A 23,684-nucleotide genomic window follows, 5' to 3' on the forward strand; every position below is an offset into this window, starting at 1 on the left:
ACACAAAGTTAAACCTCAGTTCCTCCTGAAGTTTCCAGTGCAGGAGCGGGGGATTTAAGATCAGTCCTGGGTTAGGTCAGGATCCTAATCTCCTCTGCACAGCTCACAGTTTTATATTTTAAGGTGCATGTCCTCTTAAGCTAACTCAGCTTTATCTTACTAGTTTCTTTCCCTTGTACCAGGAAGTATTCCAAAATCCTTTGTGATTCCTAGTGATGCCAGATCTACTCTCTTGCTTGATGGCTGTATAATTCAGGAGAGTTACTCCTATTAAAGTATTCCATTAAATACAGTAATATTCTAATGGACCACTCTTGAGCAAAGTGCAGAGAAAAGTACGCATTTGCCTTAGAAGGTTCATAAATTCCTAGTAAATATTTCTATGCTATGTGAAAGTCAATCTGAAATCAGGTAACTATAATTTCTAAAAATATTTAGAAATCTTGTAATGTGATTAAATTCACACATCATTTGGGTAGAAGGGGGAAAAAAGACATGAGAGATGCCAAAATGTGAATGAGGGATCACTGGAGAAAACATTTCATGTAAAACTAGGAGAATTCATGTCCATCCTGCAACTGGCCTAACTGTGAGAAAGCCCTGCAGCTCAGATCCGTAGTGTGTGAGAGTTGTTGATTTCACCGTCAATTCATACATTTATTCGTCCAACACATATTTAGCGGGTACTCACTGTCTCCGGGCAATATGCTAGGAGCTAAAGATAAAAGAATGAGTTAAACAGACCAATACCTTCACAGAGATGTTCAGTGGGAGAAAAGCAAAATGATTAAGTGCTGAAAAGTTATGGGAGATCAAAGGGCATAAAAGAAGACCCCCCAATTAGTCCAGAAATTCAGCTACCAGGTGAGACGTCCAAAGGTCGCTAAGAAACCACTAAAGGATTTTAAATGTGTACACACGTTTCGCTTCTTGCTTCAGTCATCCCATGGGTGGTGTTATCACTTTCACGGCTGAGCTCCTAGTCAGAGGGCACTTTGAAGAAATAGCCAGGCCAAGTCGCTCTCAGCATAGGGGCATAATTTAACTCTTTTTAAATTTGCTTTAAGGGAAAGATGAAAAGAATGTCTTTTTAGACTAATTTCTTCGCCTCCCATTTACAAGAATAAATAAAACGACTTTTTTTTCAAATGTAAAAAAAAGTGGATAGCCTTTAACTGCAGTAGCATAGATGTATAAAGTTGAAGTGATACCACATAAGGTTTACAGGCAGTGAGGGCCCGGAAACAGATTTGTCATTCATTTTCTTGTTCATGATACACAATTATTCTTAAAAGTGTTGTGTGACAAACTCCTAGAAAGTATTGTCTAAATGTGCCCTCTCCCTATTACTATGTCACTAAGTTTGTAGAACTGCCTGATTCACTTACCAAAACTTTATCCTGCTGTAACTTTTTTGAACAATCCCTGTAATATTCTCCACTGCTTATTTTAAAGTAGCTGAGAATATAGCGTGCTGTTTATGGGCAACTAGTCATGGGGTAGAGGGTGAGATGATACCAGTGTTAGCCTGGGCAGGCCTGGGTGTGAATTCCATCCAGACACTTACTTAATATGTAAACTTGATTAAGTCTATTTGTTTATTTTTACACATTTCTACACTATATTTCTTCACTTATAAAATGGGTAAAAAATATCTGCCTCTTTGGATTTTTACGATTGACAAAAAAATGCAAGTAAAGTGCCTTGTATTGAGCTTCCCATGTAGAGACAGATACTCAAAAAATTTAAAAATCTCTTATTTGCTGCCTTTTCACAGGGGTATGTTAGGCACATACCTTTAATAAACGTTTCCAGTGAAAGGAGAAGGGGAGGCTGAGTTTTGGATGCCCAATGATTCTTCTCAAGATAATATCTTTAGTTTCAATTCTGTAGCGCTTTTGAAAAACTGATGCTTTGTGAAATATCAAATGAAGTAGTGCTCTGTAACATCTCCCAGAATTCTTCTCTCTTTTTAGCCTGGACTTGTCCCTCCATTACTTTGAAGACCCAAAGAGGACTGTTCCTTATTTTCTTCTATGCAGGTGGAGGATTTTTTTTTCTTGTACCCTCTGCTGACATCTCACTGATTTTCTATGTTAGAACTTTGAAAGAAAAAAAAAAAAAAAACGGCTTTGAAGGTCGAACTGCCTGGTGTTTGTTTAATAGTAGAAGCCACGTGTTTTGACACATCAAAGATTAAGAAAAGAGAAGGATTTTATTTCATAAATATCAAAGGGAAAACTTTCAGTTAATTGAATGGCAACTAGTCCCCTTTGTGCTCATTTCGGTTTCTGGCGATAAAGATGCTCAAACAGTGAGATCGCAACCAGTGAAGGAGGCGCTCTGAAGGACAGGAAAGGTTGGCTCTGCATGAGAAAGCCCTTTTAGATCCAGAAGAAGAATCACGCTTCCTTTCTTTTCCTGACCACAGCCTGTCCTGTAATTAGCGGAGCAAGTCAATCTGAGCGAGGCAAATCACTGGTTTTCCATGAAATAATTATATTTCTTATGCTCTTGGACATGTACACCTCTAAGCCTAAAAGCGGAGAAAGATGTTTTGGTTTTTTTTACGTGAGCTGGGGGAGGGAGAAGAAAAGTGGCAGCGACAGTGTAGCAAATGGGTGAAAGCAGCACAATGTGGCAAGAGGAGAGAACAGGATTCCGATTCCGTGGGGGCGTGGGAACACTGAGTTCCGCGCAGGGAGTTTCCCTGTTCAGAGCACCTTGTGCGCGAGTTGATAACTCTCGGAAAGGAAACAAAATTTGGCTTTCCTAAACTTTCTGTACGTCCAGAGAATCCCATGCCTTGTCTTGGCCTCCGCAGCGCCAGGCTGGGGTGACAGCACTCCTCCTCCACCGGCCCGGGCTTCTCCTCCGGACCGCGAGCCTGTGGCGCCTCCCCGCGCGCCCAGCGCACCGGGGTGTCCCCTTGGAGGAGCCTGCGGGGGCGGGGGAGGAGGGAAGGGCGCGACTCGTGGGTCGCGCTGGTTCCTTCACTGGATGGACGTCCGACGCTGCCTCCGGGGCGGAGACAGCTCCGGCCACCATGCGCCCGTTGCGGCGATTCCACCCACAGTTCGCTGGCTCTGGGGGTGGCGGGTCTTGGCGCGCGGTGCCTGCGCGAAGGGAGGGCAGCCATCGCCCCCGCGGTCACTGGGGCCCCGCGTTCCCCGCGGGCTCGGGCAGGTGCGCGGTGTGCCGGCCAGGTCCCCTTGTCCTCCTGCCCTGCGGCTTGGGCGCCGCGCCCGCCCCGCCCCCGCCCGCGGGCCGCCCTGGGCAGGGCCTGCCGCTGCGGCTGGAGAGCAGCGCACCGGCATGGGCAGGCGGCCGGCGGCGGAGGGCGGCTGAGGGCTGCTGAGGGTACGCGCAGCGGCCTCTCGTCGCCCTGCACGTGCCTCGCCAGGCAGTGCGCCTGCTCGCAGCGAGGACCTAGCCCTCTGGTTGCAGAGACCCGGTGCCGCAGCAGCGGCGGGTGGCTGTCGCTGCCCTGCCCTGCACGGGGCAGGGCGGAGCGGGCTGAGCAGCCCGGGCGCGATGCGTTGAGCGCTCGGAGGGCCAACCGCCGGTCCCCTTGGCGGCAACCGGCGGCACCCATGGAACCACTGGGCAACTGGAGGAGCCTGCGGGCGCCACTGCCTCCGATGCTGTTGCTGCTGCTCCTGCAGGTGGCGGGGCCCGTGGGCGCCCTGGCGGAGACCTTGCTGAACGCGCCGAGGGCCATGGGCACCAGTTCCAGCCCGCCTAGCCCTGCGAGCGTGGTGGCTCCCGGAACGACGCTGTTCGAGGAGAGCCGGCTGCCTGTGTTTACGCTGGATTACCCCCACGTGCAGATCCCCTTCGAGATCACCCTTTGGATCCTGCTGGCCTCCCTGGCCAAGATTGGTGAGCGAACTGGACTTGTGGGGAATGGGAGGGGGCGATCTCGGGGGGACACCTGGAGGGTGACCGGGTCAGCCAGCTGACCTCTAGATAGTGACCGCCTCATCTTGAATCAGGGCAGGGACGACAGATGGAGCAGCTTCTTCTGGTTGAAAAGGACCCTTGGAAGAGCAGTTTCGCGTTTTGGTTCTTAAGGGAACATTGGCCTTGAAATGGCCCCAAGTGTAAGTTCTACAAACTCAGCGATTGCTGCTTACTTCTGCCGCACGGAACGCCAAGTTTGTCAGCTCTCTGCTTAAGTTGAGTGAGATCTGTTTATTGAAGTGTACCAGTCTCACCTGCAGGGAGAGAGGTGCCGACGAACCCCGGAGCTATGCATAATGTGGTTAAAACCCTGGATGCTACAGGAGAGAGGCGCCTTGGCAGTGACACAGACCCTGCTGTGCGCCTGACTAATGAGGTGCATGGAAGGGGACCAGGGACACCTGAGTGCTTGCAGCTGCAATAGGAACGCCCTTTCTCCTCCCTCTATTGGGTTGAGGCTGTCACTCTCCAGGAAGCTTTTGCTTCGGGGTGGCTGAGGCCAGTGAGGTGAGATGCATATTTAAAAATAATTAACTCTGGGCCCAGGACAATGGCCCAGCCTGTAATCCCAGCACACTGGGAGGCCCAGACGTGAGGATCCCTTGAGGCCAGGAGTTCAAGATCATCATGGGCAACATAGCAAGACCAAACAGTACAAAAATAAAAAATTGGCCGGGCGAGGTGATTCACGCCTGTAATCCCAGCACTTTGGGAGGCTGAGGCAAGGTGGATCACGAGGATCACTGATCAACATGGTGAAACCTCGTCTCTACTAAAAATACAAAAAAATTAGCCGGGCGTGGTGGTGGGCGCCTGTAATCCCAGCTACTCGGGAGGCTGAGGGAGGGAATTGCTTGAACCCAGGAGGCGGAGGTTGCATTGAACCGAGATTGCCACTGCACTCCAGCCTGGGCAACAAAGCAAGACTCTGTCTCAAAAATTAATCAATCAATTAATTAATTAATTAGGTAGCCTGGTGTTGTGGTGCACATATGTATTCCCAGTTACTTGGAGGCTGAGGCGGGAGCCTGAGGGAGGAGGATCGCTTAAACTCAGGAGGTTGCGGTTGCAGTGAGCCATGAATGGCACCACTGCACTCCAGCCTGGGCCACAGAGAGATACCTTGTCTCAGGGAAAAAAAAAAAAAAAAAAAAATTACCCACTTTCATACTACCTTTAACTCTCATTTTGAAAGCAGAAACCTCAGAATATATTTTCTCATCTTCATTACCCACGCCCCAGAAACTTTCATGTTATGAGCATGGTGCTTTATATTATTTTTACTTTATATTTTAAAGACTTTAGAAAAATCCTGAAATATTAACTATTGTTATAATGATTCGATTAAGTTGTTAGGTCCAAAGAATGTATGCATTACATGTGTTTTACGTCTTTACCCTGTGAGATGAGGCAGATTTCCATAAAGAATGAAAAGACGCATTGTCTGCCATCCTCAGGGAGCTTACTGATGAGTGGAGAGACGTGTACACGCTGTGTGATTATTGCCCAGGACAGTGCTGAGTAGGGTGACAAACTCAGAAAAGATAGTATGCCATTGCAGGGAAGCAGAGAACACTTCCTCATGCAGAGCAAACATTTAAACTGGATTTTCCAGGATGACCAGGATCTGGTCAGTTAGAGAGAAAAGGGAGCAACATTCCAGAGAGGACTGAACAAAGACATAAATTGGGAGAGGAGTGCAAAGCAGGTAGAAGGGATGGTTTACAGGAGGGTGGAAGTTGTGGTAGGTAAACCGGAAGCAAATCTTCATGCCAGATAAGATTAATTAGAGTCTATTAGTGGTGACTAAGAGAGACACATATTATTTAACAACTCTGAAGTCTGTAATTGACTGGCTTTGACGTGGTGCTACTAGTTGAGTGTCTTAATTCCACTGAGAGATGGTATAAGGGAGATGGGCTTCCCCACCTATAAACCAGATACACACATGTTTGTAAATTGCCTCTAATAATAAACTCAGATGCCACAAGCCTGCCCTGTAGGGAGTGGCGGTATTAATACTCCCACTAGTTGAGGTGGAAACTCTGAGTGAATTTGCACCCAGAAGCACACAAAGTGGCGAGCCAAAATGAATGACCTGTTCCCTGTCACTCTCTCTGAGCCTCAAGGCTCCATCGCTGGAGGGCTGCTTCTGTGCCTGTTTCCATTACTGCTTCTCTGTTGCCATTTCTATTCCAACTATCTCCTTTGTTCATCATTCCTGATTGTTTTAATCAGATTAGTTACAATAATAACAGCCTCTAGGAGGCACTTAAGGGCATTATCTCTAATTTTTACAGTCACCATGCCGGGTAGGTGTTGTTTTCCTGGTTTCATATAGGAGAAAATGAAAAAATGGGGAGATTAACTTGGTGGTGGGTGGTGAGCCAGAATTCCAGCCAGGTCTGTCTCATTTCTCATCTTTGTGCGTTTCCAGAAGGCTTGTTCTTTTGGGAGGATTAAATGAGAATGAATGTGTAACATCTTTAGAATAAAGCTGGGCACACTGTAAGCACTCCATCACTCCATCCATACTATCATCATTAGTAGCAGTGAGGACAGTGGTATAGTCAAAGTAGTAGTAGTTAACTGTACAGTTTCTAGCACTACAGAACCTTTTCCACTGTTGACTGTCCTGGGCTGCCACCTGTCTCTCTTTACTTCCGCTTTGGCCTCAGCCTTCTACAAGTGTTCTTATTCTGTGGGCTGCCTTCCCGCACTTACTCTCTTGCTGTCCTGTTCCATTCATTTTATTGGACCATCTCACTTTCATTATGTGGTATTTTGTTAAAGGCATTCATGCTTGCTTGCATAACAGGTGTATTTGTCTCTCCACTAGCATCTTTTTAGCCCAGATATGTTTATATTTCCTGGGCCCCCTCTGTTCTAGTTGCCAGTTTCGGCTTTCCCCTGCATTGTGCTTGGCTATGGAAATCATCACATATTGCACCTCCTGTCCTCCCCCAAATTTGGAACGTCTCTGGCTACTACTTTACCTTTCCTTTCTGCATCTGAGTGTCACAGAGATGATAATTTCCATGCAGAGAGTGGTCTGAACAGCCAAATGGAGACTGCCATGGGTAGAGTGAAGGGTATATTTCTCAGGACAGAAAGTGGAGTTTTAGAGTCCAAAATGCTGGTGCCTGGGGTATTTTCTCCAGATTCGTCTGCATAGAGCCCAGCCTCGTCCTGCAGCTTCCCCTGTGTTCCTAGAGGAGCCAGGAAATGCCCAGAAATCCCCACCCCTCCTCTTGCTCCCAGGGTTCTGAACTTTCTGTTTGGTTTTAAGCAGGACCGTCCTGGTGCTGTGGGACACTTTCGTACCCCATTAAACAGTCATCTAGTCATTTCTCTTTCAACTTTTGTTCTGAAAAAGCTGTTTTGTGGTGGCTTATATGACTTAAGTTGCTCATATTTGGGAATGAAGAGGAATTGAGCTGTGCAGGTGGATATGATACTGTGGGGTAATGCAAATGCTAACCCCTGCAAAATGCCATGGTTTCTATTTGGGGCACTTTTGTGCCATTTGTGTAGTGTACCTGACCTTACCTGCCTCAGAGAACATGGAGAAACATTGCTAGTGATTAATCTAAACGTGGTTAAATTAACAGGCTGTCCAAAGTGGAGGATCCGAATAACATTTGTAGGGGGTTTAAATAATGCCTGATGGTGAATTCAGAATAGTTTTCTAATATAATATATATTACATTATATATTATCAGCTAATATAATCTTAGAAATATTACAATCAGAAGTGAGAAAATCCATTTTTGGCAAAGCATTGAATGATTCAGCTTAGCTCTTAATTGTTACACTTGATTATCAGGGAAAATCAACATCCTAATTACTTGGTCCAGAAAAAGTAGTTTTGTAATTATAACATTTACCAAAACAATGATGATAATGATGGTGATGATGGTAAAGATGATGATGAGTATGTGCTTATGAAGTAGGTCAAAATATTTTTTTAAAGCACAGCAAATTTAGTACACCTCGGAAAAGCTTTAAAAGTTTTGGCAAGAAATGTTTCCTCATTTGTTTCTTACTTAGGTCCTTGCACATGTGAATTCACATTATTCTTTCACTTTGAATATTTATATTTTGAGCAACCGTTGATTATTTTTATAGTTATAAGTACACACTTTGCTTGATAAATCTTGTATAGAGAGATGGGGTTCTACGACCTGGAATAATGGGTAGCCAAAGAATTGAGATAAAATTTTCTGATGTGTTTTAAGATTGCCTCCTCTGATTTCTTTGCCTGTGAAGTGGCCTACTGGGGTTTTTGCTAATTTGGGTGAACTTGGACATGGACTGTATTTCTTCTCAAGGTTTAAGGACAAAACACTGAGTACCTTGCTGTGTAAAGTAACAGAGCCTCCTTCTTTGTCCTGGGGTTCCCCTAACATACCTTCCCATATCTTGAGGTCTTGTGAGGCTGGCCTATTTCCATCTCCTTTCAAGTGTCACTGGTCACTCTGCTCTTTTGATTTTCTCTGCCCCTAAGTTGGAGTAAGATGCAGAATTTTCCACCTCCCTCCATCCTGCTGTCATGAAATTAAATAAATTATATTCTTATAATTTTAAGGGGAAAGATAGAAAGCAGTTTGCTTCATGAAGACGTCTCCCCTGGGATCCAGGCTATCCTGAAATTGAAATATGAAACCTAAGAGTTTCATATCTGTCTGAATTACAGAGACTTTGATCTCTGAAAAAAACTTATCCTTGCACTTAGTCTGTTTTTCTTTGTCCTCTGGTTTTCCTGAGGCATATTCATCAACTGGTTGGTCAATGGATGCAGCTCAGGGTCTTCACCTGCTATCTGAACCACATCTCACTTTGAATACACTTCTAAATTCAGGAGTTTCTGGTGGCAGGTATTGGTTCCTCGTAAAGTTAAAAGAAGAGCACTGATTCCTTTCCTTCTCAAAGCCTCCATCTTCTCCCAGTGGGCTGCTCACACATTTTCTGTTCTCTGTCTGAAGGATGACTTCAACAGCTTTTCCATCTTCTCTCTAAAAACCAATTTGGGTGTCTTCTAGAATTTTGCCACTACACTTTACTTCTGAAGTGTTTTTGTACCCTTTAAAATAATAGATTTTTTAAATTTTTTAAAATTATACTTAAGTTCTAGGGTACATGTGCACAACGTGCAGGTTTGTTACATATGTATACATGTGCCATGTTGGTGTGCTGCACCCATTAACTCATCATTTACATTAGGTATATCTCCTAATGCTATACCTCCCCCCTCCCCCCACCGCACAACAGGTCCCGGTGTGTGATGTTCCCCTTCCTGTTTCCAAGTGTTCTCATTGTTCAATTCCCACCTATGAGTGAGAACATGAGGTGTTTGGTTTTTTGTTCTTGCGATAGTTTGCTGAGAATGATGGTTTCCAGCTTCATCCATGTCCCTACAAAGGACATGAACTCATCATTTTTTACAGCTGCATAGTATTCCATGGTGTATATGTGCCACATTTTCTTAATCCAGTCTATCATTGTTGGACATTTGGGTTGGTTCCAAGTCTTTGCTATTGTGAGTAGTGCTGCAATAAACATACGTGTGCATGTATCTTTATAGCAGCATGATTTATATTCCTTTGGGTATATACCCAGTAATGGGATGGCTGGGTCAAATGATATTTCTAGTTCTAGATACCTGAGGAATTGCCACACTGTCTTCCACAATGGTTGAACTAGTTTACAGTCCCACCAACAGTGTAAAAGTGTTCCTATTTCTTCACATCCTCTCTAGCACCTGTTGTTTCCTGACTTTTTAATGATTGTCATTCTAACTGGTGTGAGATGATAGCTCATTGTGGTTTTGATTTGCATTTCTCTGATGGCTACTTTAAAGTTCATATGGAACCAAAAAAGAACCCACATTGCCAAGTCAATCCTAAACCAAAGGAACAAAGCTGGAGGCATCACGCTACCTGACTTCAAACTATACTGCAAGGCTACAGTAACCAAAACAGCATGGTACTGGTACCAAAACAGACATATAGACCAATGGAGCAGAACACAGCCCTCAGAAATAATACCACATATCTACAACTATCTGATCTTTGACAAACCTGACAAAAACAAGAAATGGGGAAAGGATTCCCTATTTAACAAATGGTGCTGGGAAAACTGGCTAGCCATATTTAGAAAGCCAAAGCTGGATCCCTTCCTTACACCTTATACAAAAATTAATTCAAGATGGATTAAAGACTTAAATGTTAGACCTAAAACCATAAAAACCCTAGAAGAAAACCTAGGCAATACCATTCAGGACATAGGCATGGGCAAGGACTTCATGTCTAAAACACCGAAAGCAATGGCAACAAAAGCCAAAATTGACAAATGGGATCTAATTAAACTAAAGAGCTTCTGCACAGCAAAATGAACTACCATCAGAGTGAACAGGCAACCTACAGAGTGGGAGAAAATTTTTGCAATCTGCTCATCTGAAAAAGGGCTAATATCCAGAATCTACAAAGAACTCAAACAAATTTACAAGAAAAAAACATACAACCCCATCAACAAGTGGGCGAAGGATATGAACAGACACTTCTCAAAAGAAGACATTTATGCAGACAACAGACACATGAAAAAATGCTCATCATCACTGGCCATCAGAGAAATAATAGATATTTTTATCACCAAATGAAAATGTTACATTATATCCACTTTAACAATGATAACAATACTCAGCTTTATTTCTTACAGAATTATTTCACCTAGATTGAATCCCTAAGAAGTATACAATGAACTGTTTGCATAAAACCATTTGTTCTGGCTGGGTATTGTAGCTCACAACTGTGATGTCAGCACTTTGTGGGGCTGAGGTGAGAGGATCACTTGAGGCCAGAAGTTTGAGACCAGCCTGGGCAACATAGTGAGGCCCAATCTCTTCAAAATGTTAACAACAACAACAACAACAACAATAACAACAACAAAAAGCCAGGTTTGGTGGCCTGTGCCTTTAGTCCCAGTGACTCAGGAGCTAGTCAGGAGGATCACTTGAGCTCAGGAGTTCAAAGTTACAGTGATCTGCGATGATGCCACTGCACTCCAGTGGGAGTGGGCAAAGACAGATGGAGACCTGCTCTCTTAGAAACAAAAAAAACAAACTGTTCCTTGGGTGATATAAAAACTCACCTGTAAAAGCAAGTGAATTGATGGTTTTGGTATATGGATAGATTTTAACCAGTGAGTCCGTGGCTTTAATGTTTATAGTTTTATTTGGTTTATCTGTGTCTTCTGGGGTCAATTTTGGTAATTTGTATTTTTTATAAAATTATTATTTTGAGTTTTTAAAAATTTATTGGAAGTTATTTTATGATTTAAAAGATCTCCACTTTATATGCATTTATGTTCTCCTTTCTGTTTCTAATATTGTTATGTTTTTCTTTTTTTCACCTTGATCAGGTATGCAGGAGTTTGTCTATTTGATACTTTATCAAAGAATTAGCTTTTGGTTAGCTTCTAAGTTATCTGCTTCTGCTCTTACATTTATGATTTACTTACTTCAGCTTTCTTTGGGTTTATTTATTTAATTAATCCTTGAATTAAAAACTTAACCCATTAATTGTTTGGTTTACTTATGTTCTGTTAATATTGTTAATTCCCGCCTTACAAGAGTAAGAAACACCAATATTTAAAAACATAATTAATATTATTTTCAATAGTTTCTCTGCTGGTATTTTTATGAATCCCTGAGCTCCAAAATTGACATGCACTTATGCTAAAGTGACATCAGTCTTATTAAAATGAACAAAATTACTTCAGTAGCTTACTTACTTATTGAAACTCCTAATAAGACAATTCCCCTTATCAATTTATCCCAAATATGGGTATTTGCTTGTTTTCATTAAATTCAAATCTATGATATACTGTACACTTAAGACTCTGTCACAAACTAAACGTATTCATAATACTCAAAGTTTATGTAAATTCATCTTTAATACAAATAATAATAACAATAAAGAGAATGGTAAAGACAAAAGATATAAGGAAAATTATGCAAATGACATATCAGTTTCTGAATAAATTGCATGATGTCTTTACTGCTGTTAAGTAGGAAACCATGGGTGTTCTGAAAGGATTTCTTAACACAACATACCAATGATAAAACTGGAATGATGACTGCTTTTGATGGATCTCATCTCAGGATGCTCAGAGTCCACAAAATCAGTTTGATCTTCATGGAGCCAAAGGAATGCTTCATGAACTAAAATAGGATTATTCAATGAAACTCTTCTCAAAGATGAATTCTCATGATCCAAATGGGTAAATTTTGGAAGAACGGCAATATATGTATTTAAGGCTAGAAATATACCCCTTTTTTCCTACTTTAATTGTATTGCATAGGTTTGATATGCGGGGTTTCCACTGTCACTCAGCTCTCGGTATTTTTAAACCCCCTTGTGATATTTTATTCTGACTCAATAATTAGTTAGAATTTTACTTCTCAGTTAATAAACTTATGGAGATTTGGGGTTTTTGTTGTCATTGTCAGTTTTAGAGATAGGTTCTCACTATGTTGCCTTGGCCGCTCTCAAACTCCTTAGCTCAAATGATTCTCCCGCCTAAGCCTCCCAAGTAGCTGTAACTATAGGCATGCACCACCATGCCCAGTTGTTTTTTATTTTATTGACATTTTAATGCATTTTGGCTAGATAGGTATAATGCTGATTTTTAGTGTTGATTGTGATATCCTTTATGGCTTATTTTATGGACATTTTAAAACTATATTTTCCATTTATACTTGAAAAAACAATGTGTATTCTCTATTTATTGTGTACAGGATTTTATATACTTAGATGTATACATATGCAGACACATAGAGACTAGGTCAAATTTCTAATTACGGTGTTAAAATCTTCAATAGCATTACCAGTTTTTTGGTTACTTTATCAGTTCCTGGGGTACATTAAAATCACTTCTAAAATTGTGATGTCAATTACCATTTGTAATTGTTTCAATTTTTGCTTTGTTTTGATGCTATGTTATTACATACTCATTCAATATTGTTACATCTCCAGAGTGAGTTCTTCCTTTAATTATTAAGTTTTTAACTTCCTTATTTCCAGTACTTGTGGCTCAAAGTGTATTTTTTCATATAAAACTATTACCATTTAAAAGAAAACTTGATTTTGCGCATGTACTTTTTTTCCATATCTGTTTTCTATATCTACATTTTCCAGATGTATATTTTTATACCTATACTATCAAATGAGTTATGTTATTTTCATTTGGCTAGGCCTCATTAAACCACATAGATCTGGATTTTGCATCTTTAATTTCACATTTTAAAACACCGTAGCTTAAAAAGAGAAATGTAATTACACTTATTGTGTATAATGATATATTTTGACTTATTTTGCTCTCTGTTTACCATGCTTTCACTTGGTATCCTAATCTTTCTTTCTTGCCATATTTTGGCTTGGTTGATTTCTCTTTCTTATTTGTTTTTCATACATAATTATATATTCTTTTGCTATTCTTTTTAAGGATACTATACAGTTTAATGTGATTATCTGATTTAACAGGAGTCAACCAGACTACCATGGCTGCTCACATCTCAGATACATTTTCCTACATATTTTGTGGTTGTGTGATTTTGAGTATATAACTTAAACTCGCAGGGCTCAGTAGTCCTAGTGGTAAAGTGGGGACAATCAATGTAGCAATGTCATAGGCTGTTGTGTAAAGTAAATTAGCTAATACATGTAAAGTGTTACAATAATTTCATGGAACATAATGGTATCAAATAAATTCCTAGAACATGAAAGTATTTGCTATTTTTATCATCTTCTTCCTAATACTTGAACTTAAAAAAATTCTAACTGCGTGTTTCAGAATTATAATATTTTGTCATAATTCATATTTGGACTGTATTTAACTTCCTCCAAATTAGTTTTTACTTTGTATAAGAAGTAGTTACATAGATCTGTAAACATATTTTCCAGTTTTTCTTCATTGTTACTTTTTATCTCTTTCTGCCTTCCGGATTCTTTTTTGTTTGTTTTTGTTTTTACTGATGTATATTCTTCAGTGGATACTTCAGGGAAGGCTTTAGTCTTGTATGGAAACATCTTTATTTTTATTATACTATTAAATGATAATGTAACTGAGTGTAGGGTTTGGTGTTGTTCATCACTCAGAATATATTACTTCAATACTTTTTGTCCTCTTTTGTTGGTAAGTGGAATTATGTTGTTACACTGACTTTTGATATTAATTTGACTTATGTCTCTGGTTTTATTTAAGTTTTTTAAATTGTTTTTGATATTCTGCTATTTTTTAACGTGTCTAAGTATAGATTTACTTTATTTTTCTTGCTCAGAACTTGTTATACTTCCATGCTTCTTAACAGCTCTTTCACGTTTTTCGTCTCTTCATTGCTGTGGTATTTCTTGGTGATTTTATCTTATCTTTTTTCCAGCTTACCATATTTTACTCTCAGTGCATTTCTAATCTGTGCTTAACCTACTCATTGGATTTTTAGTTTTAATTATATTTTCATTTAAGCTGTTTGGGCCCTTTTTCAAGTCTATTTGTGTTTTGTTCATGCTGTTGCATTACGTAATTATAGTAATTATTGGTTTTATTATTCTTTTATTCCTTTATTCCTTTAAACTATATTCATTTTATAGTCTCTTTTGGATTGTTCTGTTATTTGTAATACTTGGGGTGCTAATTCTTATATTTATCCATTTACTGACTTTCTCTTTTCAATATTTATTTCCTTATGTAGATTGTAGTTTTAATTATGAGCTTAACTTCAGCAGGTGATGTTTATTTGGTAAACGTCTGTTTTCTTTAAGTTGTAAAATGTTCTTACAAAATGGTTTGGAGTGTGCTTCTTGCTGGGACCTAGGGTTTTAATGATATGTTTTTACTATTCATTTCTTAGCTTGGCTTTACTATGTGATTCAAGTACTATAGATATAGACTTAATACCTGTATGTGGTATAGACCTGGAATTTTATACTTCATGGGCGAATTTCCCCTGGCTCAAAGCCATAAGGAGTTGACATATTTCTTTTCCTTCCTTTTTTTCTTGGCTAAAAGCATCTTTTCTTTTTTTTTTGTGCTAGTATTTATTTATTTAGGACAATGTAGCTGTTGGAAATTCAGGAATTTCTTCAGGAGCCCTTTCTTTAGTGGTCTGAAGTCAAATGTCTCATCCTCATGTAGGTGTTAAAATGCCAGATCCTAGCACATAGGTCACGCATCTGTGTCAGGAGTTCCCCTGGTTCACTGTGACTTCAAATCCTACTGACATATCTCATTTTGATTTCCTTATTTTTTGCCTCCTAGACCTTTTCCTTAATTTTGAACTCAGCTAGATATTAATATCTTATGTAGTAGTATGAGGAGACACCATTTGTGTCCATATTGTTGGATATCTCTGTGACATTTTACACAGCATGTTTTAAGGACATACTTTCTATAGAAGGCCTAATTCTCATGGTTATGTTATCATAATGGCTTCTCTTTAATGTAAGGTAAAAATAATGTATACTTTCCTAGTTTTCAATCTGAAGGATGTGGGGGTGTGACTGTACTGCTTCTGTTTTATTTTGCGTATTTTCATGCTTGTGTAGAAGAATAATAGCTTAGCAGTTGACAGAAGTGTTTGACCTAAGTTTTGGGAAAGATAGCCCTGGATTAGAAGCAGGAAGACCCTGTTGTAATTCCACATCTGCCATTAACTTGGTCTTATGACCATAACAAGTATTCATCTACTTGGTTCTTCCATTTAATTAATGAAAGTGGGGATATATATATATATATATATATATATATATATATATATATATACATACACACACACATATATATACACACACATATATATACACACATATATATACACATATATATACATATATATGTATATATACATATATACATATATATGTATATATACATATATACACATATATACACATATATATACATACATATATATATAAATGAAAGTGGGGATATAAATATATATATTTATTATATATATAATACATATATATATATATATTTGCCCTATCTGTTTAATATTTCCATAAGGATAATATAAGATTGCCTGCAGGGGAGTACATCATTTATAACAAAGCTGTTACTTTTACAGCAAAAGAGACTTAAGCCAAGAGAAGCATGTGTTTATTACATTAATATTATATTAAAGTGATGTGTAGACATGGGCGTATTGTCATTTTAATGATACATGCACAATTATAGGTTATTCTCTCACAATTACATCTTTTAAATGTATGAGTCATAATTGATGCGCTTCCTGCAACAGTCCTGTGCATTGTTTATCACTGCACATGGGCTTTCTCATCTTGATTTGTCAAATTCATCCCTTGTTTGAAGACGCCTTGTATTCCTCTTCCTCTCTAATAATTCTGGTGGGTAGGGCAGGGGAATTCCACCAAAAGATCTCTGTTATGACTGTGACACACATACTTTCCAGGTGAGTTTCATGTTATGGTTTGTGTTGGCATACAAAGGCTTACATGGGAAAGACAGAAAAGAAAAATCAAACTCACAATACATTTAGAAATTTCACCTAAAAATGAATCAGATTACACCTATCTGCTCTGTCTGGGAAACACTCTAAAGAAGGATAAAGGTTTTGCTATCCATGGAAAGTTGTTTAGAAAATCACAGGGCAGTGAAACAACTCCATAGCCATATTTCTGTGACTCTGCCTCTGGCTGCTTTTCCCAATTCCTGGGCCTGTTTCCTGGAGACCCACTGGCCAGGAAACCTGAGCAGGGTAATGCAACCAGTGGTGCATTTTCTTGTAGCACAGAAAGGTGGAGATGAGTGAGACTTGGTAATTCCTCTATCACAGTTTCTTTAATAAAATAATAATAGCTAACAAGGACAGAACATTATTCTCTGTCAGGTATTTGAGCCAAGCGCTTTACATTCATTGTCTTATTTAATTCTCATGGTAATTCTGGAAGGTAGGCACCATTATTATTCCTAGTTTTAAAAAATAGATGAGGATAAGAGTTTAGGGAGCTTAGGTAACTTGTCCAAGGTGTCAGCTATCAAGTGGCAGAGGTGGGGCCACAGCTAGTTCTTCATCACTTGGATGTGTCTCACCGGGCCCCCTGTTTCTCACGGGAAAGGATATTAAAATATCACACTTCCGGTGTGGTCTCCAGCACACTTTACCCACTCTTAACCTGGAGCCAGAGGCCTGCATTTGAGGCTCATGCTTGACCCGTAGGCCTCATTATGACAGTCTCAGATTGCCATTGTAAAATCACGCAATAATAATAGCACCCGGCTTCCTTCGTGTGATTCTGTGAGGACGAATCAAAGTAAACATGAAGAAAGTACACTGCAACCCAAAAGTTAGGATTAGTATGACCTCACAACAACTTCAAACTGGGTAGGACACAAAGAGCTAAGGAAAAGGTAAGGTAGCGGAACTCAGTAGTACCAGAGCCAGACCATGAGTCTAGAACTTCAGAATCTTGGCCTGGTCTTGTCCATCATCCATGATGCACAGAATACAGAATTGTAATGCTTCTGAGATATATATTTAACACGTTAAGTATTCATAGGTTAAGAGAAGGTTCAACCCATATAACTTAAGCTGTCATGTAGATTTTAATAAGTTCAACTACAACAGATTTACAGGAGAAAAGATGTTAAATATGTTTCATTGCACACACATACACACGTATTACACATGCAAACAGGCACATATAGAAACACATGTACATATAAATGACATTCATTAGAATGTGTGCTCAATGAGGGAAAGGATTTTGTGTTTGACTCATTGTCTGGAACAAGGCCTGGTACATAGTACAGACTCAATAAGTAATTACTGAGTAAATGAGTAACTCAATAAAATTTGGAGAAACTCTTTTTTTTCACCACACTTTAATGATGTAATTAAAGTTACCACACTCCTTGGTTGTCCATGATATTTCTGGTTTACATTTGTTACTAATGACCTGTCACATATATTATTATTGTGTCATTTCACTCTCAAATATCCTCATTTGGATGGTAATTGATTTGATCACTGTACTATAGTGTATATACTATTATTGGATATACTTTTAGTGGTAACTTAAGGTCTGTGTCCAAAATCCCAGCCCTGCTGCTTACTAGCTATGGATTTGGGTGAGTCAATTAACTTCTCTGACCTCTGTTATTTCATCAGTAAAATGAGCTCATAGTAGCAGCTTCTTCGTTAGGTTGTTGTGAGGATAGAGTTAACACATTTACAACAGTTGCTACTTTATAGACCTTGGAAATGTGGATAGCCTTGAAGGAGAACAGATTTCTTTCTTTCTTCTCCAATGTATAATAGTATCATACCATGAAAATCTGTTTTGTCCATTTGCTCCATAGCAAGTTGTTAGACGTCCTGATCTTCTGCCATTGCTGTTATGAATAAATAGGTTTCTTTCTAAATTATACATGTCAGCCTCTGAAATATGTTACGTAAGCTTAAAAAAATCATTTTTTTTCTGCTTTTGCTAAGTTGTTTGCAATGAAAAAGAAAGGCAATGCACATCTTTTTTTTTATTCCAGGTTCTTGTCTTGGAAAATGAAAGATGAGCAGCCAGGCATAATTGGTGGAGGGCTAGGTGAAAGACTAGGCCTGCAGGGTTCACAGTCAGCTGAGACTCCCTATAAGAGTAGGCTCTCTCATTGACCCTCCTCCGGACACTTCCTGGAAAGCCCAGAGCTTCTGGGTCTCCTCTGTGTTATCAGGGTCCACAGATGCATCAGCTCACACACTTGTGGTAAGCACGTTGTTCAGCAGTTGCTTTCCTAGGCCTTTTGTGCTTTTTGTACAAATAGTGTTTCTTTCAGAATCTAGATTGGAAAGAATCTTAAAGTAAAGTGCTGCCTAAAGTAATTATTGCTATTTTAGAAATGTCAACCCACGCTTTTCATCACCAGTATTCTAAGGCAGAAGCGTGCATCGGCTGACTGTACATTTTCTCTTACGGAACACTGGAATGGTGAGGAGAAATGATACTGAAAAATTGCGGCTTCTTCTTTTCTATCTGATTGAAAGTCTTGGTGTTCAGGGTTGGGAAGGATACATTGTTCGTGTTAACACGCCTGGTCTGCTTACTTAGGAAAATGGCAGCATTCTTTGTGTGTTCGCTCGTGAAGTTTCTGGATGAGTATGGAAGATGCTGACTCTGGCTCGAGGAGCTTTAAAGGGAAATAAGAATACATGCACGCCTGTGTGCAACAGCCCTGGCCCTAGTTTCTCTGTATCCTGTTGCCCAGGTTTGCTTTCTTCTGAGCTGTCTATCACTCTCTGACATCTGATTATTTATGTGTGAGTTGGCTGTTCACTCGCTGTCCATCCCTCCTCAAGAGAGGTTCCAAGGACATGGGTGTCTTTTTACAAATGTCACTTACAACGTATATAGTTAAAACCAAGTAACACTGTTTTATATTTTCAATCATTTCACAATGTAATTTGTAATCTGCTTTGAACCTCAGAAGAGTCTGTATCTTATTTTGTTTTGTTTTGTGTTACAACTGACATTCATTCATTCATGTGCTCACATTCTAAGCACCACACATGAGAGGTGATGGTTTTGCTAAAGGGATTTGGTTGATAAGATAGCTAATCTGTTTACTTAATGATTGGCTCCATCTGCATAATTTTTTCTTTTTTTTTTTTTGATCTTTTTCTTTTTATTTGGTCTTGTTTCAATTTTCTGTTTTGAAGCCACTAAAACCAGGGAGCTGTTACTGTTCCTAAATCTTGGAACAAATGAGTATAATTGGCAAGACTCTAGTCCTCTGTTTTCCCACTGAATGTGTTAGTAGGTTTGACCATTATTTTAATGGAACGTAATAATTATGATGACTGTAGAACTATATGGAACTGTAAGAATCTCCATGAATCTTTAAAATACACATCCCAATACATACTCATTGAAACCCCTTTGATTTTTGCAACCATAAGCAAATGGGAAGACAAAGACCACCAACTTGGTAACAGAAGTCAGGGAGGAGGGAAAGGGAATGAAAGGGATAGTATTCTAGCAAGCTTGGAAAATACAGTCTTTTACCAAATGGGATAGTTTCTTAGTTTAGCCTGAGCCAACAGTGTGCAAATATTTCCCTGCCATGTAAATAACTGGTGAATGCAGTTAAGTGTTAGCAACCACTTAATTGAAAAATGAAATCAGGTAGCAATTACTGGCAATTGTGGGTTCCTTCACTATACTTTGATCTACGTATTTTGAGCAAGTGGTAAATTTGCTTAGAAGGCAAGCTCTTGAAGGAAAAGAAACCAGAAAACAGAAAATATGGTTCCCACACAAGGCGGTTAGGTGGGTGGGGTAGAGTCCCTGGAAAGCTTTATATGGCTTAATGATAGCAGTGTGCAAACAGCAAAGCCAAAATTGGCATAAATCGTTTACTAACACATGAGTTGAGAGAACGATAAATCCTAAGATTTAACATCTAGCCTGGGGCAGTAGAATAAAAATTGCTTTCAACTGCTGGCTGGCATGGGAAGTTCTGACTCTAGGTTATAGTGTACCAGAGTCTTTATCAGCACTGGCACGCCCTAGTGGCCCTTCCCCCAGCTTAACTAAGCTGTGCAAAGGATCTGTTCAGAAATAGTCACTAGAACTTGTCAACCCCTTGGACTCTGTAACTCCTCCTAAACACTGTCTAGGCACTGGCAAGTTTTACCTTCAGAATGATCTCTTCAAATTGAGTCCTTCCTTGGTCAAACCCCTTCATCAGATTGTGTTTCTAAAATGGGAGGGTTGGAAGAAAGGAAGAAAAGAAAAAGAAAAAGTGGAGGGCTTAGAGCCTTGAGGAGATGAAAAAGTTAAAGATGGGTGGAATCACCGAAGATCCGTTGAATCTGTTTCATAGCTGTGAGACCTATACCTGCAGTCCTAACAGACTGAGAGCAAGCTCTGTGACTGCTTCACCTGCCGTTCCTCACAGGAAACTGGAGTCCCAGAGTTTTCTAAATAAGAATACTCCGCATGTCCAAGGGCAGCTCTCAGTATTTAATAGCGAGGATCCTGTTTCCCACCTGGCTGTATGAGAAATTCCCTTGCCATCTGTAGAGTCCTTTTCTCAGCTTGGGAGACACAAGTTTCACACCCAGATAGAATACATGCTGAAATACTTTGAAAACTGGCCAGTGCCATCGTTATTATTTCCTGGGGCACAGTTGCAGTGCCAGCACAACTAAGCCAGTGATCATTTCCGAGCTGTCCAGTGGGTGTGGTGTGGGTTACAGAAAGAATATAATGCAGGCAGTGAGGTGACCAGGGCATGAGTCAAATCCTGCGCCCAACCCTGGCTTGGGTATCAGAGTAGGATTCAGCTGCCTCCAGTGAAAAAGAGACTCCCAGGGCAGCAGAGCCACCTACCTGCAGAAGTGAACTTCACCAGCTCTGTGTGCTGTACTGGACCTGCCAGAGATCTCACCCCATTGATAAAAACCAACTGCAGTGCCCCAGCTGGGACAGGGAGGCACCCCTGGCCCGTGAGGAGATGGTCCCTCACTCATCTGCTTAAAGGATGGGAAATCTGTTACCTAATTCATGGAATCTCTGCCTAAGTTGTGTTCTCATTGCTGTGGTTGAGACTAGAAGGAAGGAGTCTAAAAAGATAGACATGTAGCTGTCAGTGTGGGCCCTGTTGGTGCCTCTTCATGCCCTGAGAGATGGGAGGGGTTACGGGGAGCAAGCTGGACAGCCAGCTCTTGCCCTGCCCAAGCTCCAGCTGATGGCCACTTTGCAGAAATTGGCATAAGATGGGTGACAAAAGCCCAGTTTTGCTGATTTTCCAAGATAACTTGGACAGAAGAATTTACATGTGGATCCTCTCAGTTTCTCAATATGAGCTCAATCTTTGAACCCACTAGATAGGCCCAACAAAATAGGCGTGAAGGCCATGGTGGCTCGTGGCCTGCAAGCTTGCAAACTCTGCTTCAGACTTTTCATGTTACATGAAATTTTGCTTCTTGTCTTTATACCTGGGTATATTTAAAAGGGCTGAGCTGATTATGTGGGACACTTAGGGACTCAGGATCAGTTGGAATATGTTTTATAGTCAAGTTAACACTGATCAAAATGAGTATTATTCTCAGAAATTGATCATGTTACAAAAAGACAAATAAATAGAAATGGTTGACATACTCTGACCATTGACAAATGTGGGAAGGACACTATGGAATATCTAAGGGAAAGGGGTTTATGCTTCCCACCTTGAATAAGAAGCACAAGCCAAAGGGAAGCTGAGCTGGGATTGCACTCAGGAGGCACTGTGTTAAGTCACACAATGAGTTCATCGTCTGTGAAAGGTAAACTCTGTGGGTACATCAGTTATGGTCCTGGCAATTATTGATGTCTTGAATGAAAGTGTTCCTTATGCTCACTAAAGAGAGGCACTTTCCACTGCTTCTCAGCCTTTTGATCAAGTGTGGAGATGCACTTTCTTTAAAAATGTGTCTGTGAGTCTGGGCGCAGTGGCTTATGCCTGTAATCCCAACATTTTGGGAGGCCAAGGCAGGAGAATTGCTTGAGGCCAGGAGTTTCAGAAAACATATCTGTGAGTAAAATCAAAGAATTTAACAGTCTTAAAACAAAATAAAAACTTTTAAAACCATTCTGTGCTCTTTTTTCACTGAACATTACTTCAAATAAATCCAGGAGTGATGGCTTATGCCCATAATCCCAACATTTTGGGAGGCTGAGTTGGGAGGATCCCTTGAGAGCAGGAGTTTGAGACCAGCATGGTCAACATAGTGAGACCTTGTCTATACAAAAAATTTAAAAATCAGCCAGATGTGCTGGTGTGCACCTGTAGTCCTAATTACTCAGGAGGCTGAGGTGAGAGGATTTCTTGAGCCTAGGAGCTGGAGGCTGCAGTGAGTTATGATTGCACTACTGCACTCCAGCCTGGGTGACAGAATGAAACCCTGTCTAAAAAAATAGAAACCTGCAGAAAAACTGACATAATAAACATGCATGCTGTGGTAGATTATTATATCATGTTAATAGGCTATCATTCACTCAACCATTTTCCTATTCTTTGACATTTTGCTATGAGTGTTTTTGTGAAAAATTACTTGTTTTACCTTTTGAGCTGCCAAAAACTTCTGTTGTTTTGCTTCTTATTTTTGAACAGCCCAGGCTTTGCACGTTTTATATCAACATTTGTCGAGTTGCCTTTTGAAGGACTAGTTCAGACTCTGTATCAGGGGATCAATCAGAATTTCAGAACACTGCATGGTGACCATGCCTACCAGCAGAGATCCATTTAGCAGCATTATCCTTTCTCCGAGTTGGTTTAGCAGTGCTTATGCAGTCACAGCAATATTTGTAAGTGAACAATTCAGTGGCATTGAGTACATTATCAGTGTTTTGCAACTACTACCTCCATCAATCTTCACGACATTTTCATCTTCACAAACTGAAAATTTGTGTCCATTAAACACTTACTCCCTGTCACCTCCTCCCTTGAGCCCCTGGTAAACTCTATTCTGCTTTCTGTCTCTATGAATTTGTCCATTCTAGGTACCTTATGTAAGCAGAATCATACAGTATTTGTTCTTCTATGTCTGGCAAAAGTGAACATTTTAAGGAGGAACAATATAGCTCTTACAACTTTAATGAAATTGAGACAAACATAGAAATGACCGGTAGTAATAAAAGCATAAACCTCCAGTGCAATCAAATATA

At 40.2% G+C, this 23,684-nt stretch overlaps 1 protein-coding gene across 2 annotated transcripts in view, besides 1 other annotated feature; it reads left to right on the forward strand.

Annotated features, from left to right (window-relative positions):
• Positions 2,906-3,015: a silencer, noted in NCBI's record as "silent region_11832". NCBI's record gives its function as "represses an Ori minimal core promoter by ATAC-STARR-seq in GM12878 lymphoblastoid cells {active_cell/tissue: GM12878}" and the evidence as "EXISTENCE:reporter gene assay evidence [ECO:0000049][PMID:35858748]".
• SLC9A2 (solute carrier family 9 member A2) overlaps positions 3,298-23,684 on the forward strand; it is a 91,803-nt gene continuing 71,416 nt past the window's right edge. For both annotated transcript variants that reach the window (NM_003048.6, XM_047445572.1), the window contains exon 1: positions 3,298-3,882. In NM_003048.6, the coding sequence (NP_003039.2) occupies positions 3,594-3,882 (289 nt within the window). In that variant the 5' untranslated portion in view covers positions 3,298-3,593. The remainder of the gene's footprint in view (positions 3,883-23,684) is intronic.

This window comes from Homo sapiens, chromosome 2, assembly GCF_000001405.40.
Source record: "Homo sapiens chromosome 2, GRCh38.p14 Primary Assembly".
NCBI lineage: Eukaryota > Metazoa > Chordata > Mammalia > Primates > Hominidae > Homo > Homo sapiens.